The sequence below is a fragment of the Homo sapiens genome, chromosome 8 (genome assembly GCF_000001405.40).
Source record: "Homo sapiens chromosome 8, GRCh38.p14 Primary Assembly".
Classification (NCBI taxonomy): Eukaryota; Metazoa; Chordata; class Mammalia; order Primates; family Hominidae; genus Homo; species Homo sapiens.
In genome coordinates, this window is record NC_000008.11 from 97,491,427 (window position 1) to 97,508,313 (window position 16,887).

Below are 16,887 nucleotides of genomic sequence, written 5' to 3' on the forward strand. Positions count from 1 at the left end.
CAGGTATAACTAGGTTATGTGTTTCTCATCATTCAGCAGGCAAGCCTGGGCTTGGTCACATGGCAGAGGCACAATTACAAGAGAAAGTGCAGAAACATGCAAGGACTCATGAAGCCTAACTCAGAACTGCTATCCTGCCATTTTTGCCATTTGCTATACAGGCCAAAGTAAATCATAAGGCTTGATTCAAGGGATGGAGAAATATTCTTCATCTCTTATGGGAGGAGCTGCATGATCAAACTGCAAAAATCTCTAGTATATGGAAAAAGGGGACATTTCTGCAATCAATCTATAATGCAAGCAATTCCTTATTCTGGTCTTTACAATAAGCTCCAGCTCCTATTGACCCCACTTAGCCCTACCTCTATTAGTCTAGCCTAAAATGGACATTAATATATCAAGGAAGTTGCTGTTAAACTAAATTTGGCCTGAGGATGCCTCCATACTTTGAGTCCCTAGTAACAAACTGCAACCTATCTTAGGATGTAAATTAACTAAAAGCCTAATTTAGGAATACAGTTTTGAAACAACTTGAGTCTCATCCAATCACAGCAGCTGAGCCTCAGTCAATCACAGGCAGCCAACTGATCAGACCATGTCCAAATTAGGCAAATGCCAAGTTGTAACCAATCAAAATGTTTCTATACCTCACTTCTACTTTCTATCAATAATTGCTGCCTGCCCACCTTGTGGAGTGGAGGTCTCTGAATCTCTTCTGGTTCTAAGGGCTCCCTGATGTGAATTATCCACATATACAGGGCCCCTCTGACCTGATTTAACACAAAAATGAAGTCAAATCAGGAGCTGTAGTCTCTGCAGTTTGTGGTGGGAGAATTATGATTCCTGTTAGAAAGACCCTTCTTATCCAGAGCAAACCTGGTAAGACCAAGCACAGATGTGTGATGTCAGGTCGGTCCAGCAGTACCTTGTGGATATAAGCCTAATACCATTCAGAAAGCAATAAGAGGGAAAAGAAAGGAAATCAAAGAGCAGGTCAGTGAAGGAATAAATCAAAAGGAAGAATCCAGAAAAAGAAAGAGAGAAATTATACTGTAGTACATTTATTTTTATGGGGAGAAAAAAACATATTGGGATATGAGACGGTAGGCAGGGGAGAGGAAGCGGGACACATCTCTGATGAATTCCCTGCTCATTCTTTAGCATGCAAAAGCTAGTGCCTATTTGGCAGATCACTTTAAAAGGCTCTGCTCATTCCAGTCCCAGCAGGTGGAGATTTAAGGGGTAAGGCTGTCTGATCCACTGAGTGGATGGGCAGTATTTGGAGTTTCTGGGGAGCCATTTTAATCTCTCTTCAAAGGGGCCAGTTACTATTGTATCACCGCAAGAATGCATCGTAATGCCAGTGGTCCTTACCACACTAAACTGGGATTGCTTTTCATAGAGAGCCTCCCTAGAGACCAAAACTTTTGCTCTGAATCTTAGGGATTTCTCTGGTGGAGAAAGTTTTACATATCCTTCACCTATCCCCCCAAAATAAACAAATAATTAAAACTAACAAGGAAACTGGGAAACCCAAAATAGAATACAAAAAGTAAAAATGGACCTCACTGTATTACAAATAAATAACCACACTGAAGAGGATGAAGAAGAAAAAAACTAGCCTAAATAACTTTGGGAAACAGTATCCTAACTGATTATATGGTGGTGGTTGCCTGTAATCCCAGTTACTCAAGAGGCTGAGGCAGAATTGCTTGAGCCCAGGAGGCAGAGGTTGCAGTGAGCCGAGATTGTGCCACTGCACTCCAGCCTGGGTAACACAGCAAGACTCTGTCTCAAAAAATAAATAAAAATAAATAAAATATAAGACTAAGAAAAAAATTAACAGTACACAAGACTAAACAAAAAATTAATAGTATACAAATGCTATAATATAGTTATTAAAGTGTTTCTCCCAAAGGTATGGGTTAGCTAGTCTTTTTTTTTTTTTTTTTTTTTTTTGAGATGGAGTCTCGCTCTGTCGCCAGACTGGAGTGCAGTGGCACAATCTCGGCTCACTGCAATCTCCACCTCCCAGGTTCAAGTGATTCTCCTGCCTCAGCCTCCTGAGTAGCTGGAACTACAGACACACACCATCACTCACAGTTAATTTTTGTATTTTTAGTAGAGGCAGGGTTTCACCATGTTGGCCAGGATGGTCTCGATCTCCTGACCTTGTGATATGCCCATCTCTGCCTCCCAAAGTGCTGGGATTACAGGCATGAGCCACCACACCCAGCCCTGGGTTAGCTATTCTGAAGCACTTTACATGTGTACTAGAATCAAATAATTAAATAGTGTATATTGTAGATAAAGAAAGCTAGACTATTAGGGAAAATTTACAAAGAAAGACTAAAATGGACCTGGCACGGTGGCTCATGCCTGTAATCCCAGCACTTTGGGAGGCTGAGGCAGGTGGATCACCTGAGGTGAGGAGTTCAAGATCAGCCTGGCCAACATGGTGAATCCCCGTCTCTACTAAAAATACAAAATTAGCTGGGCGCGGTGGTGCGACCCTGTAGTTCCAGCTACTTGGGAGGCTGAGGCAGAAGAATTGCTTGAACCTGGGAGGCGAAGGTTGCAGTGAGCCTTGATCGTGCCACTGCACTCCAGCTTGGGTGACAGAGTAAGACTCCATCTCAAAAAAAAAAAAAAAAAAAAAAGAACCCTCTGGTCTTGAACTGGAATCAGAAGTATTAGGATAAACTCATTGTTTTTAATATCTATACAGACAGATACGTGCAGAAATATAAATGTGGGGGTGTTGCTATACATACATGTATTTTCTAGCTCTGTCTGCTGGATAAGCCTAAAAGCAATGACACTCCAGTAGCAATGAGCATGCCTAATTGCCCAGATTTTTATTTCTACTCACTTTTCCCCAATTTCTTAGAGAGTAGGTGATTCTAAGGCTGGGGTGGGAAAAATACAAGACGGATGTCTTGTGGTGGCAGAAAAATGAAAGTACTCAAAAAAGATTGTGAGCTTGCCAGAGAACACGAGCTAACCTGAAAGAGCTCCTAACAACTAAAGATGGAAAAGGTTAAACAACAAAATAAATAATGACAGCATTATATTTTAATCAGTAAAATAAGCTAAATGTCCATGAGTCTACACTGATATAAATAAGCAATGAAATGCATAAAGAAATGGGGAGAAAGGACATATCTTCCCTAAAGAACAATTTCAAGCAATATACAGAGAAAAGAGAAACAAAAAATCACTATTTGGTAAACACCACAGTAAAAACTGTTGCAGACAAGATCTGCTTATGAATCTTAAAATTACTGGAAAAATTTGAGGGGAAATAAATATTTTTATATTCTCAATACACCTACTCAAGATATTTATGAACTACAAAGGGAACGATAACTCTACAGTGGGAAGACTCATCAGGTACCACCTGAAAGAAGTAATCATGGTTAATATCACCAGTAGTAAGACCTACTGACATAATGAACCCCTTAATATGATGCCCTGAGGATACAATATCATTTTTGTTTTGCTCTTAACAAAAACATACAACCGCATTCTAATTGTGAGAAATGATCAGGCAAGCCAAATTGAGAAATATCCTACAAAATAACTGATTAATACTCTTCAAAATAAGTCAGTCCTAAAAGGACAGACTGAGGAATTGTCATGGTTTAGAGGAGATGAAGGAAAAATGACAACAAATAAGATGACAAGCGGGATTCTAATTAAGATCCAGGAACATCTGATAAAGGAATCAAAAAAGGAATTCCATTTACGATAGTCACAAATAAAATTAAATGCCTATGTATTAACCAAAGAAGTGAAAAATCTCTATAATGAAAACTATAAAACACTGATGAAAGAAATTGAAAAGGACATCAAAAAATGGAAAGATATTCCACATTAATGGATTGGAAACATCAATATTATTCAAATGTCCATACTGCCCAAAGCAATCTACAAATTCAATGCAATTCCTATCAAAATTCCAATGACATTCTTCACAGAAATTTTTAAAATCCTAAAATTTATATGGAACCCCAAAAGACCCAAAATAGCCAAAGCTATCCTGAGCAAAAAAGGACAAAACTGGAGGAATCATATTATCTGACTTCAAATTATACTACAGAGTTAAAGTAACCAAAACAGTATGGTACTAGCATAAAAACAGACACATAGGGGCTGGGGTGTTGGCTCATGCCTATAATCCTAGCACTTTGGGAGGCCAAGGCAGGTTGATTGCTTGAGCTCAGGAGTTCAAGACCAGCCTGGGCAACATAGTAAAACTCTATCTCTACAAAAAATACAAAAATTTTCTGGGCATGGTGGCACACACCTGTAGTCCTAGCTACTCAGGAGGCTGAGGTGGGAGGATGGCTTGACCCAGGGGGTGGAGGTTGCAGTGAGACAAGATCATGCCACTGCACTCCAGCCTGGGTGGCAGAGCCAGATGCTGTCTCAAAAAAAAAAAAAGAAAAAAAGACACAGAGCCAATGGGAAACCCAAAAACAAATCCATACACCTATACACCTATAGTGAACTCATTTTTGGCAAAGGTGCCAAGAACATACACTGGGGAAAATGGATTAAAGACTTAAATCTAAGACCTCAAATATAAAACTATTAAAAGAAAACATTGGGGAAAAAAGAAAAAACACTGGGGAAACTCTCCAGGATATTGGATTGGGCAGATTTCTTGAGTAATACCCCACAAGCACAGGCAACCAAAGCAAAAATGGACACATCAAGTTAAAAAGCTGCTGCACAGCAAAGGAAACAATCAACAAAGAGACAACCCACAAAATGGGAGAAAATATTTGTAAATTACCCACCTGACAAGGGATTAATAACCAGAATATATAAGGAGCTCAAACAACTCAATAGAAAAAAAATTGAAAATGGGCAAAATATTTGAATAGACATTTCTCAAAAAAAAAAGACATAAAAATGGCAGGCATTTGAAAAGGTACTCAACATCATTAACCATCAGAGAAATAAAAATCAAAACTACAATGAGGTATAATCTCATCCTAGTTAAAATGGCTTTTATCCAAAAGACAGGCAATAACAAATGCTGGCAAGGATGTGGCGAAAAGGGAACCCTCGTACGCTGTTGGTGGGAATGTAAATTAGTACAACCACTATGAGAATAGTTTGGAGGTTCCTCAAAAAGGTAAAAATAGAGCTACCATATGATCCAGCAATTCCACTGCTGGTTATATTCCTAAAAGAAAGAAAAATCAAGATATTGAAGAGATATCTGAACTCCCATGTTTGTTGCAACACTGTTCACAATAGCCAAGATTTGGAAGCAAATAAGTGTCTATCAGCAGATGAATGGATAAAGAAAATGTGGTACATATAATGGAGTACTATACAGCCATAAAAAAGAATGGGATCCTGCCATTTGCAACAACAAGGATGGAACTGGAGGTCATTGTGTTAAGTGAAATAAGGCAGTCACAAAAAGACAAACTTTTCATGTTCTCACTTATTTGTGGTAAGTAAAAACTAAAACAATTGAACTCATAGAGATAGATAGTAGGACAGTTACCAGAGGCTAGGAAGTACAGTGCTGGGGTAGAGGGCATGGGGGAGAAGTGGAGATGGTTAATGGGTACAAAAAGTAGTTAGAAAGAATGAATAAGACCTAGTATTTGATAACACAACAGGGCAACTATAGTCAATAATAACTTAATTGTACATTTTAAAATAACTAAAATAGTATAATTGGAATGTTTGTAACACAATGTTTGAGAGGATGGATACCCCACTTACCATTATGTGAGTATTACACACTGCATGCCTGTATCAAAGTATCTCATGTACCCTATAAATATACACACCTACTATGTACCCACAAAAATTTTTTTAAAAATTAAAAAAAGATCCAGGAACAGAAAAAGGACATTACTGAAAAAAACTAGGGAAATTAAAATAAGAGCTACAGTTAGTTAATAATATTATAACATTGTTAATTTTTTGGTTTTGATAATTGCAGTATGGTTATATAAGATAAATATTAGATTAAAATTAAAGTGAGAGGTATATGAGAATCCTCTATATTATTTTTGCAATGCTTCTGTAACTCTAAAATTAGTTCAAAAAAGGGTTTTAAAAAGAGAAATTCAATTAAAAATGTGAGCAAAATATTTGAACAGATACTCATTAAAGATGTGTCAAAAGAAGCCAGTGAGAAGATGTTTAACATGATCAATCATTAAGGAAATAAACATTAAAACCACAATGAGATACCACTACATATCTATTAGAATAGCTAAAATTAAAAAAAAAAAAAACTAACAATACCAAGTGCTGGTTTGAGAATGTGCGGCAGCTGCATCTTTCATGCATTGCTGGTGGGAATACAAAATGATAGTGATTTGGGAAAACAGTTGGCAGTTGCTGATAAATTACATACTATATGACTCAAGGATCCCACTCCTAGATATTTACCCAAAAGAAATTAAAACTTATGTCCACCCAAGAACTTAGTTGCAAATATTTATAATGGTCTATTTATAATAGCCTCAACCTGGAAATAAAATGTTTCTTACTAAATGATTAAACAAACTATGGCATATTCCCACCCTTTGATTCTTGGGAAAGGCTGGGAAAGTTGGTTATCTGAAAGTTTTACAAAAATAACGGGAATCAATGATACACGCACCTAGAGGTCAGAGGATGAGAAAACACACAGTATGATTTATCCCACTGAGTCACCTTTTGGGCCCCATGGTGCCCATGTTGAATGGATTCCTGCAAATCTCTTCTCTCTTGGCCACCCTCCCTCTGTCCCATCCCCACTCCCAGGATCTAGCCTCCTCTCTTCCAGCACCTACAAGGTCAAGGGGAGACCTTCCTCCCTGGCGTCATTGAGGATAAACACAGTGTCTTCACAGTTCCCTGGGCTTCACAGGGAAGCCCAGGAAGCCTCGGTTCCCTGGGCTTCACAGTTCCCTGGGCTTCTCGGTTCCCTCCACAGTGTCTGGAGGCTGAGCAATCAATGCTGTTCTTAGCATGATTTTAGATATTTGGCTAGACATTTATTGAGTTCTGACTGTATGCCAGTAATCAGAGAAACAATGACAAAACAGACAAAATTCCTGCCCTAATGAATAGTGATAATAATAATTTAATTTTAAAAGAGAAAAACTAATGGAATCAAGGCTCGAGGTAGACACCTTGAGCAGCAAGAGGTCCTGGAGGGAAGAAGACAAATCTGGGGGGTGGCTTGCCCTTTCCTCAAATACGATGCTTGCTTATCTCCTTAGGGAGCACAAAGATCTTTCCTTCTTTAACTTTCTTTAAATAGCCTCCAGTGGACTCTTCCACATCACAGTTTCTATCAAATATATTTGAGTTTAGAAATTCTCTAACTGATGGTAAGATATAAGTAATATTAATGGTATTGGAATTTAAAAGTACAAGGTAGAAAGAAGACCCATTTTTCCTTAAATATCCTGATATGCTTTGAATTTTTATCATATGTGTATACTATTTTTATCACAAATAATATTAACAAATTTTTATGTGTTCTTCTTTCTGTGGTCCTATGACAGAATGTACTATCACTAGCATTTTCTCCTAAGCTAACAATATATAATCAAATCCTTCAAAAGCCCATGACTTTTTAAGAATTGAGCATCAAGACCGCACAAGCCTCCTGATCAAACCCTGCCTTCTATTTCCATCCCTGCTCCCACTTCACTTCACTGTAATTATATAACTAAGGTGATCCTTCACCCTGATAATAAACACTAATGTCTATGTCATTCCTCTGTTCATAACACTCCCATTGCTCCCTATTAAAAAAAAAAAAAAGAATTGAGCATCAAGTAGCAATTCCATTTCTAGAAAATTATTCTGCAGAGGTAGTGAAGCATATCAATATGGAATGTGGGCTCTGGAATGAGACCTGGATTTAAAACCTAGCTCTGCCACATTCTACCTGTGTGACCCTGAACAAACTACTTAACATTGTTTCTACTAATTCCTGCCTCCAATACCTACCCCATTGGCCTGTTAAGAAGATTAATTGAGATAACACATGTAAAGTTCTTTGCCCACAGCTTAGACCAAAGAAAATACAATTATGCTTCACTTAATGATGGGGATACATTCTGAGAAATGTGTTGTTAGGCAGTTTCTTCAGTACTCAAACATCACAGAGTGAACTTACACAAACCTAGATGGTACAGCCTACTACACACCCAGGGTAGATGGTATAGCCTATTGCTCCTAGGCTACAAACCTGTACAACATGTTACTGTCCTGAATACTGTAGGCAATTGTAACAGAGTGGTATTTGTATACCTAAACACAGAAAAGGTACAGTAAAAATAGGATATAAAAGATTTAAAATGGTACACTTCTTTCTTTTTTTTTTTTTTTTTTTTTTTGAGACAGAGTCTTGCTCTGTCCCCCAGGCTGGAGTGCAGTGGCGAGATCTCGGCTCACTGCAAGCTCTGCCTCCTGGGTTCACACCATTCTCCTGCCTCAGCCTCCCGAGTAGCTGGGACTACAGGCGCCCGCCACTGCGCCTGGCTAATTTTTTGTATTTTTAGTAGAGACGGGGTTTCACCTTGTTGGCCAGGCTGGTCTCGATCTCTTGACCTCGTGATCCACCCACCTCAGCCTCCCAAAGTGCTGGGATTACAGGCGTGAGCCACTGCACCTGGCCGAAAAATATTTCCTTTATGTCCTTATTCTATAAGCTTTTTTCTATTTTTAAAATTTATTATTATTTCTTACTTTTTAAACTTTTTTGTTAAGAACTAAGACACAATAACATTAGCCTAGGGCTATAAAGGATCAGGATCATCAATGTCACTGTCTTCCACATCCACATCCTGTCACAGTGGAAGGTCTTCAGAGGCAATGACACACATGGAGCTGTCACCTCCTTTGATAACAATGCTTCTGGAACACCTCCTGAAGGACTGCCTGAGGCTGTTTTACAGTTAACTTTTTTCTCCTCTTTTTTAAATTTTTTATTTTTATTTTTTTTTTTGTTTCAATAGGTTTTTGGGAGAACACGTGGTGTTCGGTTACATGGATAAGTTCTTTAGTGGTGATTTCTGAGATTTTGGTGCACCCATCACCCGAGCAGTGTACACTGTACCCAATGGGTAGTCTTTTATCCCTTGCCACACCCATCCTTCCCACTGAGTCCCCAGAGTCCACTGTATCATTCTTATGCCTTTGGGTCCTCATAGCTTCGCTCCTACTTATGAATGAGAACATACAATGTTTGGTTTTCCATTCCTGAGTTACTTCACCTAGAATAATGGTCTCCAATTCCAACCAGGTTTTTGCAAATGCTGTTATTTTATTCCTTTTTATGGCTGAGTAGTATTCCATGGTGTGTGTGTGTATATATATATACCACATTTCTGTTATTCACTCATTTATTGATGGGCATTTGAGCTGGTTCTATATTTTTGCAATTGCAAGTTGTGCTGCTATAAACATGTGTATGCTGGTATCTTTTTTTGTATAATGACTCCTTTTCCTCTGGGTAGATACCTAGTAGTGAGGTTGCAGTGTAAAACAGTAGGTCTACTTTTACTTTTACTGTTTGACTTATTTCTTTAAAGACTCTTCACACTGTTTTTCATAGTGGTTTTACTAGTTTACATTCCCACCAACAGAGTAAAATTGTTCCCTTTTCACCACATCCATGCCAACATCTATTTTTTAAAGCTTTTTTGATTATGGCCATTCTTGCAGAAGTGAGGTGATATCACATTGTGGTTTTGATTTGCATTTCCCTGATAATTAGTGATGTTGAGCATTTTTTCATATGTTTGTTGGCCATTTGCATATCTTCTTTTGAGAATTGTCTATTCGTGTCCTTAGCTCACTTTTTGATGGGATTATTTGTTTTGTTCTTGCTGATTTGTTTGAGTTCCTTGTAGATTCTGGGTATTAGTCCTTTGTTGGAAGTATACATTGCAAAGATTTTCCCCCACTCTTTGGGTTTTCTGTTTACTCTGCTGATTATTTCTTTTGCTGTGCAGAAGCTTTTTCGTTTAATTAAGTCCCACCTATTTATCTTTGTTACAGTTAACTTTTTTTAATAAGGAGAAGTACACTCTAAAATAATGATAAAATATAATATAGTAAATACATAAACCAGTAACATAGTTGTTATTATCATTATCAAGTATTATGTACTATACATAGTTGTATATGCTATACTTTTATATTATTAATAGTGTGGTAGGTGTGTTTACACCAGCACCACCACAAATACATGAGTAATCTGTTGTGCTATGATGTTATACCACTAGTTGATAGAAATTTTTCAGTTCCACTATAATCTTTTGGAACCATTGTCATTGACCAAACAGTCATTATGAAATATATGATTGCATATAGTGTATCTGAAGGTAATGGTGCTGTGGGTAAAATAAGCAAGAAACAGGAGGGTAGGGAGTATCAGTTGTTGGAGGGAAGATGTTTGCTGTTTCAATTAAGGTGATCAGGGAAGTCTTCAGTGACAAGAAGGCAGCTGATTGGTGACACCAAGATGGCGAGGGGGCAAGCCAGAAGACACTTGAGAGAAGAGCAGGCCAGATTAAGAGAACAAGTGCTAAGGCTGTGGGCTGGGAGCAGGCTTGCCATGTTCAAGGACCAGCAACCAAATAATTATGGATGAAGTGGCATGAACAAAGGGTGAGAAGTGGGAGAAGGGGTGGGAGAGGTAGCAGAGGCCAGACCATGTAGGGTCTTGGGAGCCATATTGATAGCTTTGGATTTAACTCCAGGTGATATCATAAGCCACTGGATGTTCTGGGCAGAGGAGTGCCATGAGCTGACATATTTAAACTCGTTCATACTGGCTGCTGTGTTAAGAATGCCTGAAGGAAGCAAAAAGATAGATGTATTGATACCAGTTAGAAAAATATTGCAATACTACGAGAGAGATGATAGTGAGTTAGACCATGGTGGTAATAGTAAGAGTAGTGAGAAATATTCAGATTCTAGGTAAATTTTGAAGGTAGAACCAACAGGATTTGCTGACAAATGGGATTTGGGGTAAGAAGAAAAGAAGAGTCAAGGATAAATCACAGGTTTTTAGACTGGACTAGAATGAGAGAATGGCCACTGATTGAGCCAAGGAGATTAGAAGAGGCACAGATTTAGGGGAGAATCTGATTGAAAGAATTTGGTGTTAGACGTTAGATTTAACATGCAAGTGGAGATGTTGAAAAGGCCATTGAATATATATGAGTCTGAAGTTCAGAGGAGTCCATTGCCATGAGGTATGAAAAATATTTAAAGCCGCAAAATTAGATCAATTGTTCAGGTTTCACAGGACACAGTTTGGCCTGTATTGTAGTTTTTATGAATAGTGTCCCCTGGAATTAGACAGTAAGCATACATGGTGAACATACAATGATTCCTTAAATGATGTCCCTAGATAAAAGTCATCTAGAAACTGACTAAGCTTTAAGAGTCTCCAATATTTAGAAGCCAAAGAGGTAAGTTGGAATGAGCAAAGGCTAAGAAAAAGTAGTTACTAAGGTAGAAAGGGAACCAGGAGACTGTGGGGTCCCAAAAGGTACATGAAGAAAATGTTTCCGGAAAGAAGAAGTAATCAATTGTGGCAAATTCTTCTGAAAAGTCAAAGAAGGTGAAGGCAGAAATTGTTCCTTGCAATTACTTCTATTACATGCAAGTAAGTATAGTCCCCACCCCAGACCCCTTGCTCTGGAGTGCTTTCCTCAACTTTTTCTAAGCCCCCCTCCAGTGCTTGAGTCCAGACATAGCCATTAATGCCATCTAGGAAAAGTGACTCAAGTCTGATCCTGGTACCCTGGTAGTCACCAGAAGTACCTCCCTTGAAATTGTCTAAGTCTCCTTTCAATGCCTGGGACTGGCTGGGACCAGCAACACCATCTGAGTGGGAAGTCCCAAGCCTAGACAGTTACAAGCATAGACTCTGGGATCCATTTCTGCCCTCCAAGACACTCTCTATCACTCTATCCCATATGTGGGGTCAACCAGCTGCCCCAAGACACTCCTGGACCCATGTGTATGGAGGAATTTTGAGGCTGCATGGCTGGATCTGAGTTCCAGGAGGCATCCTAGTCAATGTTTCCTTCCGACTCACCACCAGAACAGTATTTCTTTTGTAGGATTGTACAAAACCAGGCCACTAGAATGGTGCTGACCTACTGATTTTTGGTGATTCACATAGGATATTGGATGAATTCTGGGACTGGGGCAACCAATAGTCTGCCACCATCTCTTGGGTGTGAATGCACCTGTATGACAATTCTCACTCAGCTGTATTTTGACTATAATACCACCTCTGGTCCACAGTAGAAGGTGGTGCCAAGAATCCTTTATCCTGTGTGCCCCTGTTCCTAGCACCCAAGGCAGTCACCCACCCCCTCTACAGGCTCCACTCCATGTGTCAGGCAGTACTCCAGAAGGGGCATGCCTATCTCCTCTAAGAACTTTTTAAGACCATTGCTCTGCAATACCAGTGGGCCCTTCCAACTGATGTCCTCTCTTGTGTCCACCTGATGTGGTGATGTCATGCTCTCCCAAGTTGATCTTAAATCATGTTGAAAGGACAGTGAGTGTTCCTGGAGTGAATGGAACCACTCTCCTCATTCCATCCGTGGTCCCCTCTCTTATCCTTCCTTCTTGGTGGCAGTGTGTGCACTTAGATACTTAGAACTAGGAATACAGAGATTACAGCCTAGACACTGTGTTGTTCTACACTCATACAATAAACTTCTGAATGGTTCATCTAACATGACCAAAAAATTAAGCATTTTTCTCATTTTCCTGCATGCTGTGGGTGAGAATTCCATTTGTGGTGGTGAGCAATGAAGCTCAAAGGTTATTTTAGAGAGTCATTGCAAGCTGGCATTCACAAGCAGCATAATAAACGATACAGCATGATGAATAATAAGATAACCAGCATCAAATAATGATATCAGGGAAATGCAGAGGCAAGAAGATCAATATTGTTTTAATGCAAACAGGTTCTGAAGCGCCACTGCAAAGTAATTATAGCCTCACTACCTTTTCTTGTGATAGGAGATGTGAAATTAGTTGGAAACATCACATTGGGCAACAAAGAACACAAAGGCATTGTCCGTGGATCTGAACAGGAGAGTTGTTGCCTGGACACAATGATGAATCTTCACTTCCACTGATGGGATAATAACTAAATACATAAGAACTTCCTCTCCATCCATTATCCTAAATCTTCATCAGTAAATCATTAGACCTCATATGAATTTTGCAATACATCTTTTAATCAAAAACTGTATATGGACAGGACCCACACACATACATGCAAAATTTGTAATGTTCATGAGTAGATGAGAGAGAAGGGGAATTTGTGAAAAACTGGAGGTGCTGCCCATAAATGGAGCATAGATAATTCATCCATAAAGGACAGCAGGCTGAGTATAAAGACCCAGATGCAGTTAGGTGGGTAGATGTGGTGATGGTCACATGTGGATGTTTTCTTTTCTTTTCTTTTTTTTTTTGAGACAGAGTCTCGCTCTGTCACCCAGGCTGGAGTGCAGTGGGGCGATCTCGACTCACTGCTGCAAGCTCTGCCTCCTGGGTTCATGCCATTCTCCTGCCTCAGCCTCCCGAGTAGCTGGGACTACAGGCACCTGCCACCACACCCGGCTAATTTTTTGTATTTTTAGTAGAGATGGGGTTTCACCATGTTAGCCAGGATGGTCTGGATCTCCTGACCTCGTGATCCGCCCACCTCAGCCTCCCAAAGTGCTGGGGTTACAGGCATGAGCCACCACGCCCGGCCAGTGGATGTTTTCTAATGGCTTCTATTTTCTCAGTGACAATAGGCAGCAAGCCTGTCTCATAGTAAGGATTGTGGATGGGGCTTGAGAAGAGAGAAAAAGATGTGAAATAGCTAACCAGAGGGGTGGGAGTGTAAGTGGACTAGGAAAACGTAATGAGATTGCCAGGCAGCAACAAAGGCCCACTTGAAGTTAATGGCCATGAATTTAAAAGAGCTCCAGTCAGCATGACCATGAGAGTTTTTCTCCAGCTGTACTCATTGAACAGACACAGAATCAGCACAGTTGAATTTAAACAGGAATTTGCCAAGAGAATATAATAAAGGGAGAAAAAGAAAGGAAATTAAGAGTATACATGAGGGAGTGATAGAATTTGGACCATGGAATCCAAGTGAAGCAAAAGAGGGAGGGCTTGATGGATTGTGCCTGTCAGTGGTGCTAAAAGTTTCATCATTAGGATACTAGAGGGAGTAAGCTGCAAAGAGTGGTATGCTTCCAGCTGATATTGTGGACATGGCATGGTTATCAGTGATGGTGAGGCCTAGGGTATGACCTTGAAGTGGAGGCTGAGATATGGTGGAGCAAAAGATCATTGGAGGAGAGAGAGTAAAAGAACTGAGAAGCAAGGGTGCTAGCACAGTCATGTATGTGGATATTAAAAACCTCCCAGACTCATATCAAGAGAGGTTGTATCCCTATAGAAAGCATGACACAGAGCACCACTCTTCGAGGGATGAGAGGTGGGGGAAGGTAGAGGTTGGAAGACATTTGCAACAGAAGAAATCATAGGTGCTACCATTTGATTGAGGTTCAAAGCTAGGGTTTCCAGGAAGAAGACAAGGAGAATGATCTGAAAGTGGCAATGAAGAATAAGGAGGACACCAAACCCATCTCTAGGCTTCATGAAGGAATATAGGAGAGAAAGCAGCCCCTGTATCAAAGGGAGGCAGAGGGGGGCCAGGGTTCAGTTGTTAGAGCAAGGAGGAGAAGAAGAATTTCTGAGAAGAGGCTGGAGATACAGGTCAATAGCTGACTGTGGTTCCAGAGGGCACAGTATAACAAATTTGAGAATTCTGGGTGTGAGGGGCAGAGAGAGTAGGTCAGAAAAGGGGATGCACAGAGCCTTACAGGCACTAGAGTCCTGGGGAATAAGGGTGACCAGGAAGATGGAGGTAAACTGACTCCCGGATGATTCATGCTGATGGTTTCAAGTCAGCAATGGTATTAAAGCCATCAATGTTGCAGGGAGGGGGGCAGTAGAAGACAAGTTTGCAGAGTTCTGGGAATCCCTCTGCTCTCCTGCCAGCAGATGAAGATGCAGGGAGAGGGCTGACCTGCTACACGTACATTTCTGGAGCTTTTCATCACTCATTGGATGGGGAGATTATAGACAATTTTAATTTTCTTTTGCTTATCGGATTCTACAATTTATATCATGAAAGCATACCCCTTTTGTGATAAGAATATTTTACCCAATCCCAGAACTTTCCAATACTTCCAGCTATTGTGTGACTTTGAATTAGTCATTTAAAAAATTTAGAGAGTGTCTCCATCTGTTTATTAAAAATGTAAATGGAAGGTTAAAGTATTTCCTGTATGTACAAATATAGGAGAGAGTTCTATCACTTACATAGGAAAAGCTTTCACATTCATGTAAATCTACATTCCAGAATCATCACCAATTGGCCTAGAACCTGATCTTTCCATGCTGTTACTGAAATATTTACCCCTAAGAATGACAGTGCTCTATCTACTTTCTAAGAGTTCTATTTGTTTGTATTAACCCATGGAAGTCAAGACATTATAAGCCAGAACAAGATCACAGAAAGCAGAAATCACCTGCTCTGATTAAATCAACCTTAGGAAAGAGGCTGTGGCAAGCCTCACAGGTGTCTATTTCCAGACACTAGAAGAAATTCATCTGTAAGAAATCCGCAAAAGCCAATTCAAATTATTTTTAAAGCATTATGAGGTGAGGTAGATTATTGCTAATACCAGGAAAAGCTACTCATATAGCCCAAGCCCCTGTTAAAACCAAAGACAGAACATTTCCTTCTCTGCTAATAGTGACAAGGTACATTGTGTTGCCCTGTCCCCTTGTGAATTCCTTCCCACCAAAAGAACCCCAGCAATGCTCCCATAGAATTCATTCCTTTCTAACTAACAGACTATTCAACTCTCCAAATTGCAATAAAGACTTCTAAATGGGTCTTTTAGAATAAAATGTGTTTCCTGAAGAAGAAATTGGAATGGCTGTTTGGAGCACTGAAAGCCTGTATTTATCCAGGGAACGGGAACTTCTTTTGGAGTTACTTTGCCCTGAAATGTTGTCTTGCTATTACATGAAAAACAACAGCTCTCAGCCAGACCAGTACTTGCCAGCCTTCCTGTGCATTTAGTGATCACAGCAATGAGGCCTCTCCCCAGAATGGCCATCCATAATCCAACGATAGTCTCAGGCTGTGAGCCATCTTTAGGAAGACCAACCCGACTTTACCCCAATTGCTTTCTGACCCAAAGCCCATTAAACTAGACTCCTGATCAGGTCCATTTGTGCTTTATGTCTAATTTTAAAGGAGTGTGTTCTGGGTCAAGAGATTATTTCCAATCCTCTTTTAAATTGTCTAAAATTCACAGGCTGATATAGTTAGACACCAGGAAGATCAATGGGGATAGAATAGATGCCCATCTGTCTAATGAGATTTGGATGTTCAATTTTACTGGCCTGTTGATTCTAGCTACCATCCAGTTGGCCAGAGGTTACTTCCACAGTGTGTTTCTATTTTCTTGTTCAGTCAAATTTAAAAGTATTGGAGCGAGGGGCCCCCATTGCTTCCTCAGGAGCAAGAATGAGACAGATCTTTTCATGAAGACATTTTCTTGCACCACCTTAAGAAGTTTTTGTTGCCCTCAGCATTGATGCATTTTTTTTCCTAGATGTTTCCTCTTGGAGCCCAGTAAACTATTTACTCCATCCCTAACATTCATGCTTCAGGTACTTGCAGATGATTTGGATTCTCCCTCCTCAACCCTGTTTGGCTGTATTGTAAACACATCTAACCATCTCATTTCTTATTCGTCCTGACTCCTGCCCTTCCCCTGATAAATCGGA

General features: G+C 39.8%; 1 annotated feature.

Moving 5' to 3' along the window:
* Positions 961 to 1,517: an enhancer, noted in NCBI's record as "OCT4-NANOG hESC enhancer chr8:98504615-98505171 (GRCh37/hg19 assembly coordinates)". NCBI's record gives its function as "activates a minimal SCP1, AML or CMV promoter by ChIP-STARR-seq in naive and primed H9 embryonic stem cells {active_cell/tissue: H9 hESC(naive and primed)}" and the evidence as "EXISTENCE:reporter gene assay evidence [ECO:0000049][PMID:30033119]".